The sequence below is a fragment of the Homo sapiens genome, chromosome 19 (assembly GCF_000001405.40).
Source record: "Homo sapiens chromosome 19, GRCh38.p14 Primary Assembly".
NCBI classification, from domain to species: Eukaryota; Metazoa; Chordata; class Mammalia; order Primates; family Hominidae; genus Homo; species Homo sapiens.
This window is the reverse complement of record NC_000019.10, coordinates 54,722,654-54,736,663: the sequence shown is the minus strand read 5'-3', so window position 1 is coordinate 54,736,663 and position 14,010 is coordinate 54,722,654. Positions and strand designations below refer to the sequence as shown.

The 14,010-nt window shown below is 47.4% G+C and overlaps 1 protein-coding gene across 1 annotated transcript, besides 1 other annotated feature; it reads right to left on the bottom strand.

Annotated features, from left to right (window-relative positions):
- KIR3DL3 (killer cell immunoglobulin like receptor, three Ig domains and long cytoplasmic tail 3) lies at positions 32-12,222 on the bottom strand. Its single transcript, NM_153443.5, has 8 exons — positions 12,134-12,222; positions 11,382-11,417; positions 10,327-10,611; positions 8,754-9,053; positions 6,878-7,171; positions 1,307-1,411; positions 792-844; positions 32-693 (listed from the first exon to the last, which is right to left on the bottom strand). Exons 1-8 carry the CDS (start codon positions 12,165-12,167, stop codon positions 568-570), a joined length of 1,233 nt encoding a protein of 410 aa, NP_703144.3. The 5' UTR covers positions 12,168-12,222; the 3' UTR covers positions 32-567.
- Positions 98-1,297: an enhancer, noted in NCBI's record as "BRD4-independent group 4 enhancer chr19:55246834-55248033 (GRCh37/hg19 assembly coordinates)". NCBI's record gives its function as "activates an origin of replication core promoter dependent on BRD2, P300/CBP, MED14 and CDK7 cofactors, and independent of BRD4, by STARR-seq in HCT116 cells {active_cell/tissue: HCT116}" and the evidence as "EXISTENCE:reporter gene assay evidence [ECO:0000049][PMID:35650434]".

The window sequence follows — 14,010 nt, the reverse complement described above, 5'->3', positions numbered from 1 at the left end:
AGGCAAGAAAAGAGTCCCATTGAAGAAACCATGAGGGCAGACATGTTTACTTGAAGAATAGAAAACTACATTGAAATTATAAAAAAAATTTATAAGTTTTACTGCTGACAGAAGGCTGAAAGATACTCTGAGGAAAGGTGGAATAGCACGTATCTAAGTGCCGTGTTAAGAGGGAGCCTCTTATATGTTTGGAATTGTGAGTTCCTCAGTGTGATCGCAGCCTCAAGTAGACTAGGAAGTAAGCCAGTTAGGTTGGAGAGGTGGGCAGGGGTCAAGTGAAATGGAGAATTGTGGGCTAAGCAAGTGTGTTTTCTCTCCAGCAGGCAGTGGGGACCTTAGACATTTGTAAGCAAGAGAGAGGCATGTTCAGATTCGTGGTGTGAGGAAGAGCGATGCCCTAAGATGCAGACTCACGCCTTCAGAGTCCAGCTGCTGGTACATGGGAGCTGGCAACCCGGTTTTGAGACAGGGCTATTGTCTCCCTAGAAGATCCCATCAAGGCCTGACTGTGGTGCTAGTGGACAGAAGACAACTTTGGATCTGCGCTCAGCATTTGGAAGTTCCGTGTTACACGCTGGTATCTGTTGGGGGTGTCTTGGGCCTCTGAGAAGGGCGAGTGATTTTTCTCTGTGTGAAAACGCAGTGATTCAACTGTGCGTATGTCACCTCCTGAGGGTCTTGTTCATCAGAGTCCTGGAGGGAGGGAAATGCTGAGTGAGGGAGGGTGCTCACATTTTCCAGGACTCTTTGGGAATAAGACTAGCCACGAGGCTGGGCGGAGGAGCACCTACCTCCCTGTTCACTGTTCTGTTCCCTGCAGGCTCTTGGTCCATTACAACAGCATCTGTAGAAGACGGAAGTCGTCAAAACAGCTCGGAGGGCACTTCTGGGTCCTCATTTCATAAGCAGATACCAACATACAGGGGGAGGCCATAGGTGCCTGAGGTCCCTCAGTTGCCAACAGCAGACTCAGACATTCTATCTCTCTGAGCTCAAGGATCCATCCCATGTATAGCTCTGAGTTCCCATCCTATTGATTCTGTGTCCCACTTTCTGCCTGTCATGGAACCTTCTCCTGGATGTGAGTGGCTGCAGGGGATGTGAGGATACGGTTCAGAATCAGGCAATGGTCTGTGAGCTGAAGGCAGAGGCAGGGAGTCTGGTGCTCTCTCTAGAAAGTCCTGCCTCTGTGGCTCCTGCCTTGGGCCAGGGACCATCCAGTCTGTGAGGAACACACACCTGAGTGCTCCCATCCTGCTTCCCCACATGGCCCTGAGCTCTCTGGCTTCTGCTTCGTGAGACTTACTCTTTTTGTTGGCACACCAGCGATGAAGGAGAAAGAAGAGGAGGATAGCAAAGGGGATGATGACCACTGAGGTCCCAATCAGAACGTGCAGGTTTCTGGAGTTACCTGGAGGAAGACAAGACACCAATAAGAAGCTAATCATAGCAGTTCCTCTATATGAATTGTCTCACATTTCTTGATTGACAGGTAACCACATACAACGTCTCTTTAGGACAAGCACCCAGATGGCGGGAGACCTAGCTTCCTCCTGCTTTCTCAGTTGTAGTAACCATAGAACGTGCTGAGGATACAACTGCTTTAGTTTAGATGTTTGACCCCTTCAAACCTCACATTGAAATGTAACCCCCAGAGTGGGAGGTTGGGCCTCTTGGGAGTTGTTTGGGTCATGGAGGTGGATCCATCATGAACAGATCAATGCTGTTCCAAGGAGACGGGGTTAGCAAGTTCCCCCTCTATTAGTTCCTGGAGAACTGGTTGTTAAAAGAGCTTGGAAGCTCCATCGCTCCCCCTCCCCCTTGGTCCCTCTCTTGCCGTGTGATCTCTGTGGTCTCTGCACAGACAGACCCTCCTTCCCTTCTGCCAGAGTGGGAGCAGCCTGAGGCCGTCACAAGAAATAGATGCTGGTGCCATGCTTCCAGTACAGCCTGCAGAACTGTGAGGCAAACACATTTCTTGTCTTTAGAAGTTACCCAGGCTCAAGTGTTCCTTTAGAGCAACAAAAATGGACTAAGACAGCAACGTCCTGAGATCAGGAGGAACATCCCAGAACAGCCTGGGCTGTCTTCCTGTTCTTCCTGGAGGAGGACGTCATGCAGTGCTTTAGCTGAGTGCTTCCTGTGGCTCCAGGGTACAAAACCCAGGCTGGGCTGCTTTTTGATTTCCCCCAGATACACTGCATATGGGGTGACTCCACATGTCTCGAGCAGCTTTTCTGAGCCTTGAGGGACTGGCTCACATTGAAATGTAGGTTTCTGTTGTCACTCGCTGCTTATCTGTTAGTAATGAACCTGCCTGTGTAATGTGTTCTCTGTGTGTTCTGTCTCCCTGGAGTGACGGTGAGTGATAGGAATTGGTATAGGCCCAGGTGCATTCCAGGAGGTGTTTAGAATCTTCTCTGGGAAGACTGGATTGGGATTGATACACAGCGAATGTGCTTTACAGTTTCTACCACCACAACCCTCTTGACTCAAAAAAATTACATTCTCCAAGAAAAGAAAGAAAAAATGAAATCAAGATAAAAAAAGTGAAGTAGAACTGACTTAAATCAAACAGCCATGAAATAATGATGTAGCCCAGGAACAACATGCTACTTTTTGTGATCTGCTGAGACATATATTAGGCTGCTATTCCACCCGAGAAGCACGGGGAAGGACCGCCCTCTCCGTCGTTTATTGTTTCAATACAGCCTGTCCTTCTGTGAGTTAGTACGAAATGTGACCAGGGGCTAGTGCTGGCACTGGTCTCTGAGTCCAAGATCTGAGCTCACTCCAAAGAGTATTAGTGTTTACCTCCCCATGATCTATCTGTATCTCCATAGGTGATTGGAAGTAGAGATGAATTGGGGGATTTGGGTGAAGGGGCAAGTTTTATGCCATGAACAGAGCACGTTCTCTATTCCAGGACCTGTGCTGGTGGGTTCAGGAGGCTTTCACATTTTCCATATGATCCCAAGCTCACAGAAAGCCAAATAAGGAAGAGGTTTAACCTGATTGTTTAATGGATAAGATAAAGGGTCAAAGAATTAAACACAGAGAAATAGAAAAATGATGGTTGGTATCCAGTTGCCTTTGTAATTTCTGTGTGTCATAATTATGTATGTTTTATTTTTATTTTTTGAGACAGAGTCCCCCTGTGTCAGGCTGGAGTGCAGTGATGCGATCTCAGTTCAACCTCTGCCTCCAGGGTTGAAGCCATTCTTCTGCTTCAGCCTCCCCAGTCGCTGGGATTACAGGCAGGTGCCAATGCACCAGGCTAATTTTTGTATTTTTAGTACAGACGGGGTTTCACCATGTTGGCCAGGCTGGTCTCAAACTCCTACCCTTAAGTGATCTACCCGCCTTGGCCTCCCAAAGTGTTGGGTTACAGGTGTGAGCCCCCATCCACAGTCTTGTATATTATATTATACTAGGTCCCTTCATTTGCACCACCCCTCATGTGTCTATCGCTCCTCTGCCAGGTATTGATTTAGATGTAGAAAAAAAACACATCTCAGAAAGAAATTAATGAAACAAGGATTAAACTACTAGGAAAAATCAAACCCAGCAAGCCCTCCCTGCAAATGATTCTACCTCACAAGCATAGCTTATATCCATCTTTCATTCATTTAGTGTGTAAATCAACCCTACGTTTCACCAGTGGGGCGGGAATTGCCTTTTCCACGGTCTCCTAGATTCCAGTTACGCACCTGGGCCTCCCTTATTTTCATGTCGGTCACTGTTAATCAGGTAGGGATTCCTAGTTAGCTCTGAGTTGAATCCAAGGGCTGTGAGTATCAAAAACATGCTCCTTGTTCCTCCTTAGTTTCCTGTGTACCCAGTGTGCTCTCCATCTCTCTACAGTTGTCTTGTCATTCTCCCCATCTCATTCCCAGCATTTGAGGCAGAGCCTCTTCCTTGAACTAAGAATGTTTCCACCTTTGTGCCTTCACGGCTGAGAGCTCAGTGTGGAAAATCCTTCCGCCAATCTTCCAAGGGTTGAATCCATTTTTTCCATTAAGGTCACAAATATTATCTGATCAGTGAGACCTTCTCTGTCACCTGAAATTATATACTCAGCATTATCTATTACTTATTTTAAATCCTGGCTGGGCGCAGTAGCTCTCGCCTGTAATCTTTGCACTTAGGGACGCTAAGGCGGTGGGATCACTTGAGATTGGGAGTTTGAGACAGCCTGCACAACATGGTGAAACCTCATTTCTACTAAAAAAATATACCAAAAAAATTAGCCGAGTGTGGTGGCGCACAGCTGTAATCCCAGCTACTCGGTAGGCTGAGGCAGGAGAATTGCATGAACCCAGGAGGCAGAGGTTGCAATGAGCTGAGATTGTGCTACTGCACTCCAGCCTGTGGAACAGAGAGAGACTCTACTCAAAAAAAAAAAGAAAACAAAAAACACACACACACACAAAAAACCCCAGATTTGGTGCACAGATGCTTCCCAATGGATCATTCATTTATTGGTACCCTTGTGCATTCATTCTCTGCCCTCGCATTTACCCATCTGCAATATCAGCGTCCCAAGAGCAGAGGCCAAATGCATCCTGTTTACCATTTGTGGAAGGCAGGAGAATGCTGCCCCACCCCCAAAATGTCCCTGTCTTAGCCTCCATAGCTTGTGAATATGTTATTTTACAGGAAAGGAGGAATGAAGATTGCAGATGGCATTACGGTTGCTAATCAGCTGAACTTAAAAAGAGGGTACGCTGGATGATTTTAGGGAGATTGAGATGGATTATCTTGGTGACCCCAATAGAATCCCAAAGTCCTTAAAAGATGAGGAAGAAGGCAGAGCAGGATTCAGAGAAAAAGGTGTGGGTAAAGAAGAAGAGTCTGAATGATGCCATGTGAGACGTGACCAGCCTTTGTGGGCTTTGAGGAAGGAGGAAGGAGGAAGGGGACCAGGGGCCCAGGAACGTGGGAGCCTCTAGGAGCTGGGAAACGTTAAGGAGCAGATTCTTGCTTGGAACCTTAAAAAGAAATCCAGCCTTACTGTCCCTTTGATATCAGCCCAGTGAAATGCAGTTCATACTTCTGAGTTACAGCACTGTGAGATAATTAAGAAAAACATGTTTTCATCCACGAAGCTTGTGGAAATTTGTTATGGCAACAATAGGAAAAGATTCCACACTGCACAGCCTGAGCATGGGGCATTGGCTGAACGAGTGAGTGAGTGGAAGTGTCGTGTGCATAAATAAGCTAAATTCTCTCTTACTGCACGTCTCTTGCTCTGCTGAGTCAACCAGGGTTGCATCTGGTACACTGCTGATACGAATGTAAATTAGTACAGCCATTACAGAGGAGAAGAGTATGGAAGTTCCTCAAAAAATAAAATGAGGTCGGGCACAGTGGTTCATGCCTGTAATCCCAGCACATTGGGAGGCCGAGGTGGGTAGGTCACTTGAGGTCAGGAGTTGAAGAGCAGCCTGGCCAATATAGCGAAACTCTGTCTCTACTAAAAATATAAAAATTAGCCGAGTGTGGTGGTGGGAGCCAGTAACCCAGCTACTTGGGAGGCTGAGGCTGGGGAATCTCTTGAATCCTGGAGGTGGAGGTTGCAGTGAGCCCAGATGGCGCCACTGCACTCCAGCCTGGGCAACAAGAGTGAAACAGTCTAAAAAAAACAAAAACAAAAACAAAAACCATAAAACAAAATGTAAAAAGACACTTCCAGAGGATCTAGCAATTCCATGACTGGGTGTAAACCCAAAGGAAAGGACATCAGCGTATCGAAGTGACATCTGCACTCCCATGACTGTTCCAGCAGTGTTCACAGTAGCCAAGATGTGGATCAACCTACCTGCCCATCAGTGGGTGAATGGATGGAGAGAATGTGGTACACACACACAATAGGGACAACTCATCCATAGAAAGAGTAACATCCTGTCATTTACAGCCACATGAATGGAACTGGAGGTCATTACAAGTATTTCCATTTCTCACTCATATGCAGGAGCTAAAAGGTGGATCTCACAAAGGTAGAGAGTAGAATGGTGGCTACCAGAGGCCAGGAAGGGAAGGGTGGAGGGTAAAAAAAAAAGAATACTAATTAATTAATTAATTAATTTTGAGAGAGTGTCTCTCTCTGTTGCCCAGGCTGCAGTGCAGTGGCATGATCTCAGCTCACTGCAACCTCCGCCTCCTGCAATTAAGTGCAACTCCTGCCCAACCCTACCAAGTAGCTGGGACTACAGGCATGTGCCACCATGCTCGGCTAATTATTATCATTATAATTATTATTTTGTATTTTTAGTACAGATGGATTTTCCCCATGTTGGCCAGGGTGGTCTTGAGCCCCTGATCTCAAATGATCCACCTGCCTTGGCCTCTCAAAGTGTTGGGATTACAACCGTGAGCCACCGTGCCCAGCCTATAAATGTATTTATGAACAGTAGACTTCACACTTAAAAATGGTAAAGGTGGTAAATTACATAGGTATATTTCACCTCAATAAATATTTCTTCAAACAAAAAGAAAAGGGTGTAGGCGTTGCTGGTGATGACATCTCTCTGTGGGTGACAGGCCAGGATGGGCTTCTGGGAAGTGGGTAAGGTTGAGGGGCTGAGAGAACCTCTGATCTCCCCAGGCAGAGCCCAGTCTCCCTCCTCTGGGTCTGTTCTGACCTCTTTCTCCATCTGCCTGGGTGCCTGGAACCCTGATCAAGGGCATCCTTGCAGGCCATACAGGAGGGTTTGGAGGTGCCCTGTCTGCCATCCTGCGCCCTGACCCCGCCCTTACACCCATGCTGTGTGTTCTGTCTCGGCATCTGTCCATGCTTCTCTCCATCATCAGCAGGAAGCTCCTCAGCTATGGCTCTAGGATCACAAGACATGGGACAGGCATGGTGTTTTCTCACCTGTGACAGAAACGGGCAGTGGGTCACTCGGGTCTGACCACGCATGGGGCAGGGCACGGAAAGAGCCGAAGCATCTGTAGTTCCCTCCGTGGGTCACAGGGCCCAGAGGGAAGTTGGCCTGGAATGTTCCATTGACCCTCAGCACTGCAGTGAGCCTAAGTTCACCGGCCTCCGCCTCCCTGGATAGATGGTAAATGTCAAACAAGCTCCGGGAGCTGCAGGACAAGGTCACATTCTCTCCTGCCTGAACCGTGGGGCCCGGCTGGGCTGAGAGAGAAGGTTTCCCATATAGACCTGGAAGAAGAAGAGGTGGTTTCCTCAGGGAGGTTCTTCCTTGTCACAGCTCTCCTCACACCTGAGCTGAGAACTCACTCCCCTGCTCTATGACTTAATGCTCTCTTTCTCTCTCTCACCCTCCACCCCCATCTCTCTTCATGTCTATTTCCTCCTTCCACCTTCTCTGTCTCTCTAGGTCTCTGACCTCACTTCTCCATCCCTAGCTATGTTTTCTTTTTTTGTACCATTTTATTCTCTCTGACCCTCCTTGGACTGGTTGACTTGATCTTCCTCTTTCTTTAATTCTGAGTCTCTCACTTTCTGTCTTGCTCATAACTTTCTGCATATTTCTATCTATTATCTATTGATCGATCTATCATTTATCTATGTATGTATCTATCATCTATCATCATCTGTGTATCTATGACCTATCTCTCTGTTATCTATCATCTATCAATCAATGTATGTATGTATGCATCTATCCATCTATCATCATGTGTTTATCTGTCTTTCTATCTCTCTATATCTATTTATATATCATCTGTCTGTCTTTCTACTTGTCTATCTATATCATCTATCAGTCATTCATCATCTATTTGTCTATCACCTGTCTCTCTATTATCTATCATCTACCTTTTATCTTTCATCTATCTATATCTATCTGTCCATCTATCATCTGTCTCTCTCCATCTCCTTGTCTTTCTCTGCCTCTCAGTCTCTCTAGTTCCCTTTTGGAGTCTCTGCAATCCATCCTCACATCTTTATCTTTCCCTGTCTTTGTGCCCCTCCCTCAGGGCTCTGATTTTAGGGCTTTTCTCTGCTTCCTTCCATCATACGCTCCACTTCTCTGCCCTCTTTTTCTATCTCTTTATGTGTCTGTGAGTCTCTCAATTCCCTTCTTCTGGCTCATTCTGTGTGTGTGTTCATGTCTTTGCTTTTTGATTTCCCTGATTTCACTCCGTGTCTCTCTGTGGGCTTTTGTTCTCAGTAATCCTATAACATGTGGTGCTATTTGAATATGAGCCTCAGAATCCAGTATGGGGACTCCAGGAACTCACAGCATACAGGGGTTGGTGTTCTGCTCCCTCACCTGGGGCCATGGTGTCCTGGGACGATGACAGCTCCACTGCACGGAAGGCAGAGGTTTAAGAATAAACACAACATCTGTAGGTGCCACCAGCCTGGGGCCACATGGCCCAACTCAGGCCAGATAGATGTGTCTCTTTGGGTTCTCCTGGGAGAGAACACTTTGTAGAGGTAAAACAGAATGGAACCTTCTAACCTGTGCCTGGTCTCTGAACAAAGTCAGCATAGAAGGACACCTCTCTCTGGGATATGTCTGTCTCTCTGTGTCTTCTTTACCTCTTTATCTCTTTTTCTAACACCTTGTATGGCCCCTGTGTCTGGCTTCTATGTTATGACATGAGGTCTGTACTTGTGTCTCCTGTTTCTCTGCCTTTGTTGGTACAGACCTCACCAAGTCACTTTCTCTCCATAGGAACCCCACACTCATCTTCCTCATGACCACCTGGGGCTTCCAGTCCTAGATCATTCACTCCATCTCCCAGCAAGGGTGAGAGGCAGGTCTGTATTCTCTCACCTACGACCACGATGTCCAGAGGGTCACTGGGAGCCGACAACTCATAGGGTAAGTGAGTGACAGAACCAAAGCATCTGTAGGTCCCTGCAAGGGCAGGTGTCATGGGACCCATGGAATAGTTGACCTGGGAACCCGCATCGTGGAGCTGTCCAACGAGGCGCAAGGGGTCCTCAGTGATCCCCTCTCTGTGCAGAAGGAAGCGCTCAAACCTGACATCTGACCAACATTGCAGGATGACCGTCTCTCCTGATTTCACCAGGGGACCTGGGTGGGCCAGGAGGGAAGGTTTTCTGTGGACTCCTAAGAAGAGAGGTTGTGAGTTCAGAAGGCGTCTCCCTTTCTCATCCCATTCATGGGACCTGAAATAAGTGAGGCTTCCCCTCCATGGTGTCTATCTCTCTCCTTCCTGTCTGTGTCTCCGTGTTCTTTTGTGCCCATAACCCCTGTTGCAGGTCCCTCCATCTGTCTCCCTCCCTCTTCCCTGTCTCTCTGTCTCTAGTAGCCCTGATTCCCTTCCCACTGTGCTCAGTGTCACCTCTTAGGCTGTTGTATCTGTTTCCCACTAATCTCTTTCCTGGTGTTTATGTGGGGGTGGAAGAGGAACCATGACAGGCTGCATGTCCAGGCTCTTAGCAGCCTGAATCAATCTCTTTTGGACAGATTGGAAAGGCCGGCAGGAGGTACGAACTCATCAGTAAGGCAGGCATCAGTGTCCCTGTTCCTGATGGGGATTGGGAGCCTCTCCTTTCATGTCTGTGCCTTCTCCATGGCCCCAGCTTCCATAGGGTGGCCCCTGGTGCTGGTTCCAGGAGCATCAACCCCTCCCTATGTGGATCGAGCCTGGTGGTAGCATCAGTATCCCACCCATGCTAAAATCAGTGTAGCCAACCTTCTCCTTGTTTGGTTTCTTAACCTGTGCTTCACCTGGGTTCCTGTGTTGGTTTCCTGTTGCTGCTGGAGAAAATTGTCACAAACATGGGGCAGGAGAGAATACAATGACCTCTTCCACTTCTGGAGAACAGAAATCGGACCCAGTTCTCTCTGGGCTAAAATCAAGGCATCTGCAGGGCTGTGTTTCCTCTGGAGACTCAGGGAAGAATCAGTTCCCTTGACTTCTCCAGCCCTTAGAGGCCACCTGCCTTTGTGGCTCATGGCCTTCCCCCATCTTCAAAGCCCGCTGTGGCTGATGGAGTCTCCCTCCCACGACGTTGCTCTAACCCCACTTTCCTCTTCCTCCTCCTCTCATGAGGACCCTTGTGATTACTCTGAGCACAGCAGGACAGTCCAGGCTGTCTCCCCATCGCAAGGTCAACTCATCAACAACCTGAGCTCCATCTTCCTCTTCAGTCCCCTGCCCTATAACATAAATAGTCACAGGGTTCATGGATTACCATGTAGCCATCACTGGGGACAATTATTCTTCCCACCACAGCAACTATTTCTCTGTACTGAATCCCCCTTTACCCCAAATACAGTCGGGGCCTGGATGATTGGACCCTGATGGACGCCCCCACCAGAAGCTCTGGGATTCAGGAGGTGGGACAGTGAGAAGCCCAGACAGAAAGCCTCTGACCTGTGACCATGATCACCACAGGGTTGCTGGGTGCCGACCACCCAGTGGGGGAGTGTGGGTGTGAACTGCAACATCTGTAGGTCCCTGCATGTGCTGGGGTCACAGGGCCCATGAGAAAGCTGTTCCGGAATATTCTGTTGTAGAGCTCAGGGACAGGCATCCCGTCTTCTTTGGACAGACTGAATTCATTAAACCCAAGACGAGAGCGACACTGAAGAGTCACATGTTGTCCTTCAGACACCACAGTGCCGGGCCAGGCAGAGAGGAAGGGCTTGTCCTGACCACCTGGGGGAGAAGGAGGCACCACCTTAGAGAGGAGGATGTGGAGCCGCCCCTCCCTCCCTGTGCTCAGAAGATTCTCCCATTTCCACGTTTCTAAGGCTCCTACCACACCTGGGTGCCCAGGGCTACAGGAAGGACCCATCCCGCATAGACATGGCGTCTCCCTACAGCAAGTGTCAGCTGAGAACTTTGAGCAGGTGCTGAAGAAGCGACTCTTACTAGATTTTAACACTGCAAAATTACTTACATAAAAGAACACAAGGTAGACACAGGATGGAGGGCATGATCAGCTAATGCATGAACCATAATAAACAACTGAGCCCCTATTAGAAGATCTGGAATGTCAGGGTCATGACTGTGGTTCCCCCACCTCTTAGGTAGAATGACAGCAGCCACATTGCAGCCCCTACCGTCATGGAAACGCTGGAGGGTGTGAGTTATGCTCTTGTCCTCAGAGGCCTGTTGTTCCTTGCACTGCTTCTCTCCCTTCCTCTGCCGGTGACACCACTTCCTCCCTGCACACCACTCCTTTGAGCACTTCAGTCTCCCCCTGGGTCCCCACAGACTCAGCCAAGGGAAAGAAAGGCCGGGGAGGGCTAGGACAGAACTGTGGCGAAGCTTCCCCTGGCTTCCTTTTCCTAGTTCATGAGAGATTCCCACATGGCTTCCCATGGTCAGCCCATCAGTCAACCCCCTGTGTCGCCTGCCTCCCGTTTCAGGAGCATCATCTTATGTGGGGAGATGACAACCTAAGGTTTGGGGGAAGGACTCACCCACATGTGGCCAGGGCCCCTCCAGCAAGAAGAACCCTGGAAAGAAAGATCATGATGGATGATCCATCTGTACATCACCTCCAGGCCCATATCTCCACTCCAGGCCCATATCTCCACCTCTAGGCCCATATCTCCACTCCAGGCCTATATCTCCACCTCCGTCCTATATCTCTACTCCAGGCCCATATCTCCACTCCAGGCCTATATCTCCACCTCCGTCCTATATCTCTACTCCAGGCCCATATCTACACTCCAGGCCCATATCTCCACCTCCAGGCCTGTATCTCCACCTCCAGGCCCGTGTCTCCATTCCAGGCCCATATCTGCACTCCAAGCCAACATCTCCACTCCAGGCCCGTATCTCTACTCCAGGCCCATATCTACAGTTCCAGGCCCATATCTCCACCTCCAGGCCCATATCTCCACTCTAGGCCCATATCTCCACCTCCAGGCCCGTATCTCAATTCCAGGTCCATATCTGCACTCCAAGCCAATATCTCCACTCCAGGCCCATATCTACAGTTCCAGGCCCATATCTCTACTCCAGGCCCATATCTCTACTTCAGGCCCATATCTACAGTTCCAGGCCCATATCTCCACTCCAGGCCCATATCTCCACCCCAGGCCCATATCTCCACTCCAGGCCTATATCTCCACTCCAGGCCCATATCTCCACTCCAGGCCCAGATCTCCACTCCAGGCCCAGATCTCCACCCCAGCGCTCCCTCCCTCGATTCCCTTCCAGGACTCACCAACACACGCCATGCTGACGACCATGAGCGACATGGTGCTGCCGGTGCAGACAGGCGGCTGCGCCCCAGCTCAGTTCAGCAGCACACAGGATGTTGTGAGGGGCTCATGCAGTTTACATGCTGACCACATCATGGGAGGATGACGTATGCAGGCTATTTCTACCTTGCATGAGGCCCAGTGGCTGTTTGGTCAAGAGCGGAACATGGCTTCCTGGAAATTGTTCCAACTAGAATTGACACCTTGCATCCTTCACTATAACCAACTCAAAACACGTCTCAGATCCAATCTCTCATACAGGAGATGACTGAATGCTTGGCTTACATTAAAGACTTTTGATGTATTTTTGTTGTTTTTATCTGAGATTCAAACTCTTCTTCATGTGCTATTTTCCCCAGGCTGTTCTTTGACTTCAGAGTTCAAGCAATCCTCCTGCCCCAGCATTTCTAGCAGCTGGCAGTATGTCACAATCTGCCACACCCAAGTCACAACTTTTAGAACTTTTTTTTTTTTTGAGACGCAATCTCACTTCGTCACCCAGTTTGGAATGCAGTGGTGAGACCTCGGCTCATTGCAGCCTCCACCTCCCAGGTTCACGCAATTCTCGTGCCTCAGCCTCCTAAGTAGCTGGATTTACAGGCACCCACCATCACGCCCACCTAATTTTTGTACTTTTAGTAGAGAGGAGGTTTCTCCATGTTGGCCAGGCTGGTCTTGAACTCCTAACCTCAAGTGATCTGTCTACTTCAGCCTCCCAAAGTGCTGAGATTACAGGTGTGAGCCACCATGCCTGGCCGGGACATTCTATATGTGTGCGTATGTGTGCGTTTATATACATATGGTTATACACACACACACACACACACACCCTAAGCACTCACATATATAGTTGTTTCAAATTTTAAAAAATATAAATTTTGTATTTTTCTTTCTTTTTCTCACATTTGTGTTTCTATGACACCATATACATATTGAATTTTATAGTTCTATTTTATTCTTTTGGATTGCAGTTTAATAGTCCATACATAACTTTATCAACATGTAATTATCCACTCTTTTTATCATGGACATTTGTGTTGTTTCCGGATTTTCTCTTTTATAACTCGGGCCTTGATAATCGTGTTTCTGTGTGATCCCTTGCATACATATGCTGAATTAATTAGACATATTTACCTAGGAATGAAATTATTGGTTTTGGGTGCAAGTTGGTGTTGAGCTTAACCAGGAAGTGCCAAAATATTTCCATCATGACCAAATGTGGCCTGGAAAGTTTTTTGGGGTCAATTTTCCTGTTTCTTCTAAGGAACAAAATTGATGTCACTGATTTTTCTGTCCTGTTTGTCATTTATGAATATACGTACATATGCACGTATATATTTGCTTGCCATTTTATGTTTTTCCTCGACGTTACTTTGGAATTAATTTGCTGATGTGTAGTATTTCTGCAAGCGAAAGTTACCTATTTACTCAGCTCTTCCTTCTTTTCTAACACAGACATTTGAGGCTTATTTTCCTTTAACACTGTTCTATCTGTATCCCCAGTCATTTGCCGAGATGTGTTTTCATTTTTAATTGATACAAAATATTTTCCACCTTTCTTTGAAATGTTTTTCTTCCACTCATTGTTTATTGCTATGTGTGTTTATTAATTTTAAAATATTTGATAATTTCCCCAGCATTTCCTTGTTGTACATTTATAATTTAATTCAACTGTTTCATCTATCATATTACCTATGATTCAGCATTTAAAAATTTATTTTGGTGAATGTTCCAGGGGTGCTAGACAAGTTTGTGGATTAGGAAGATTTGAGGTGGATGTTTTCTAAATGTCAGTTAAGAAAAAAATCATTCAAATGTTTTTCTTTATTTAAAAAAAATA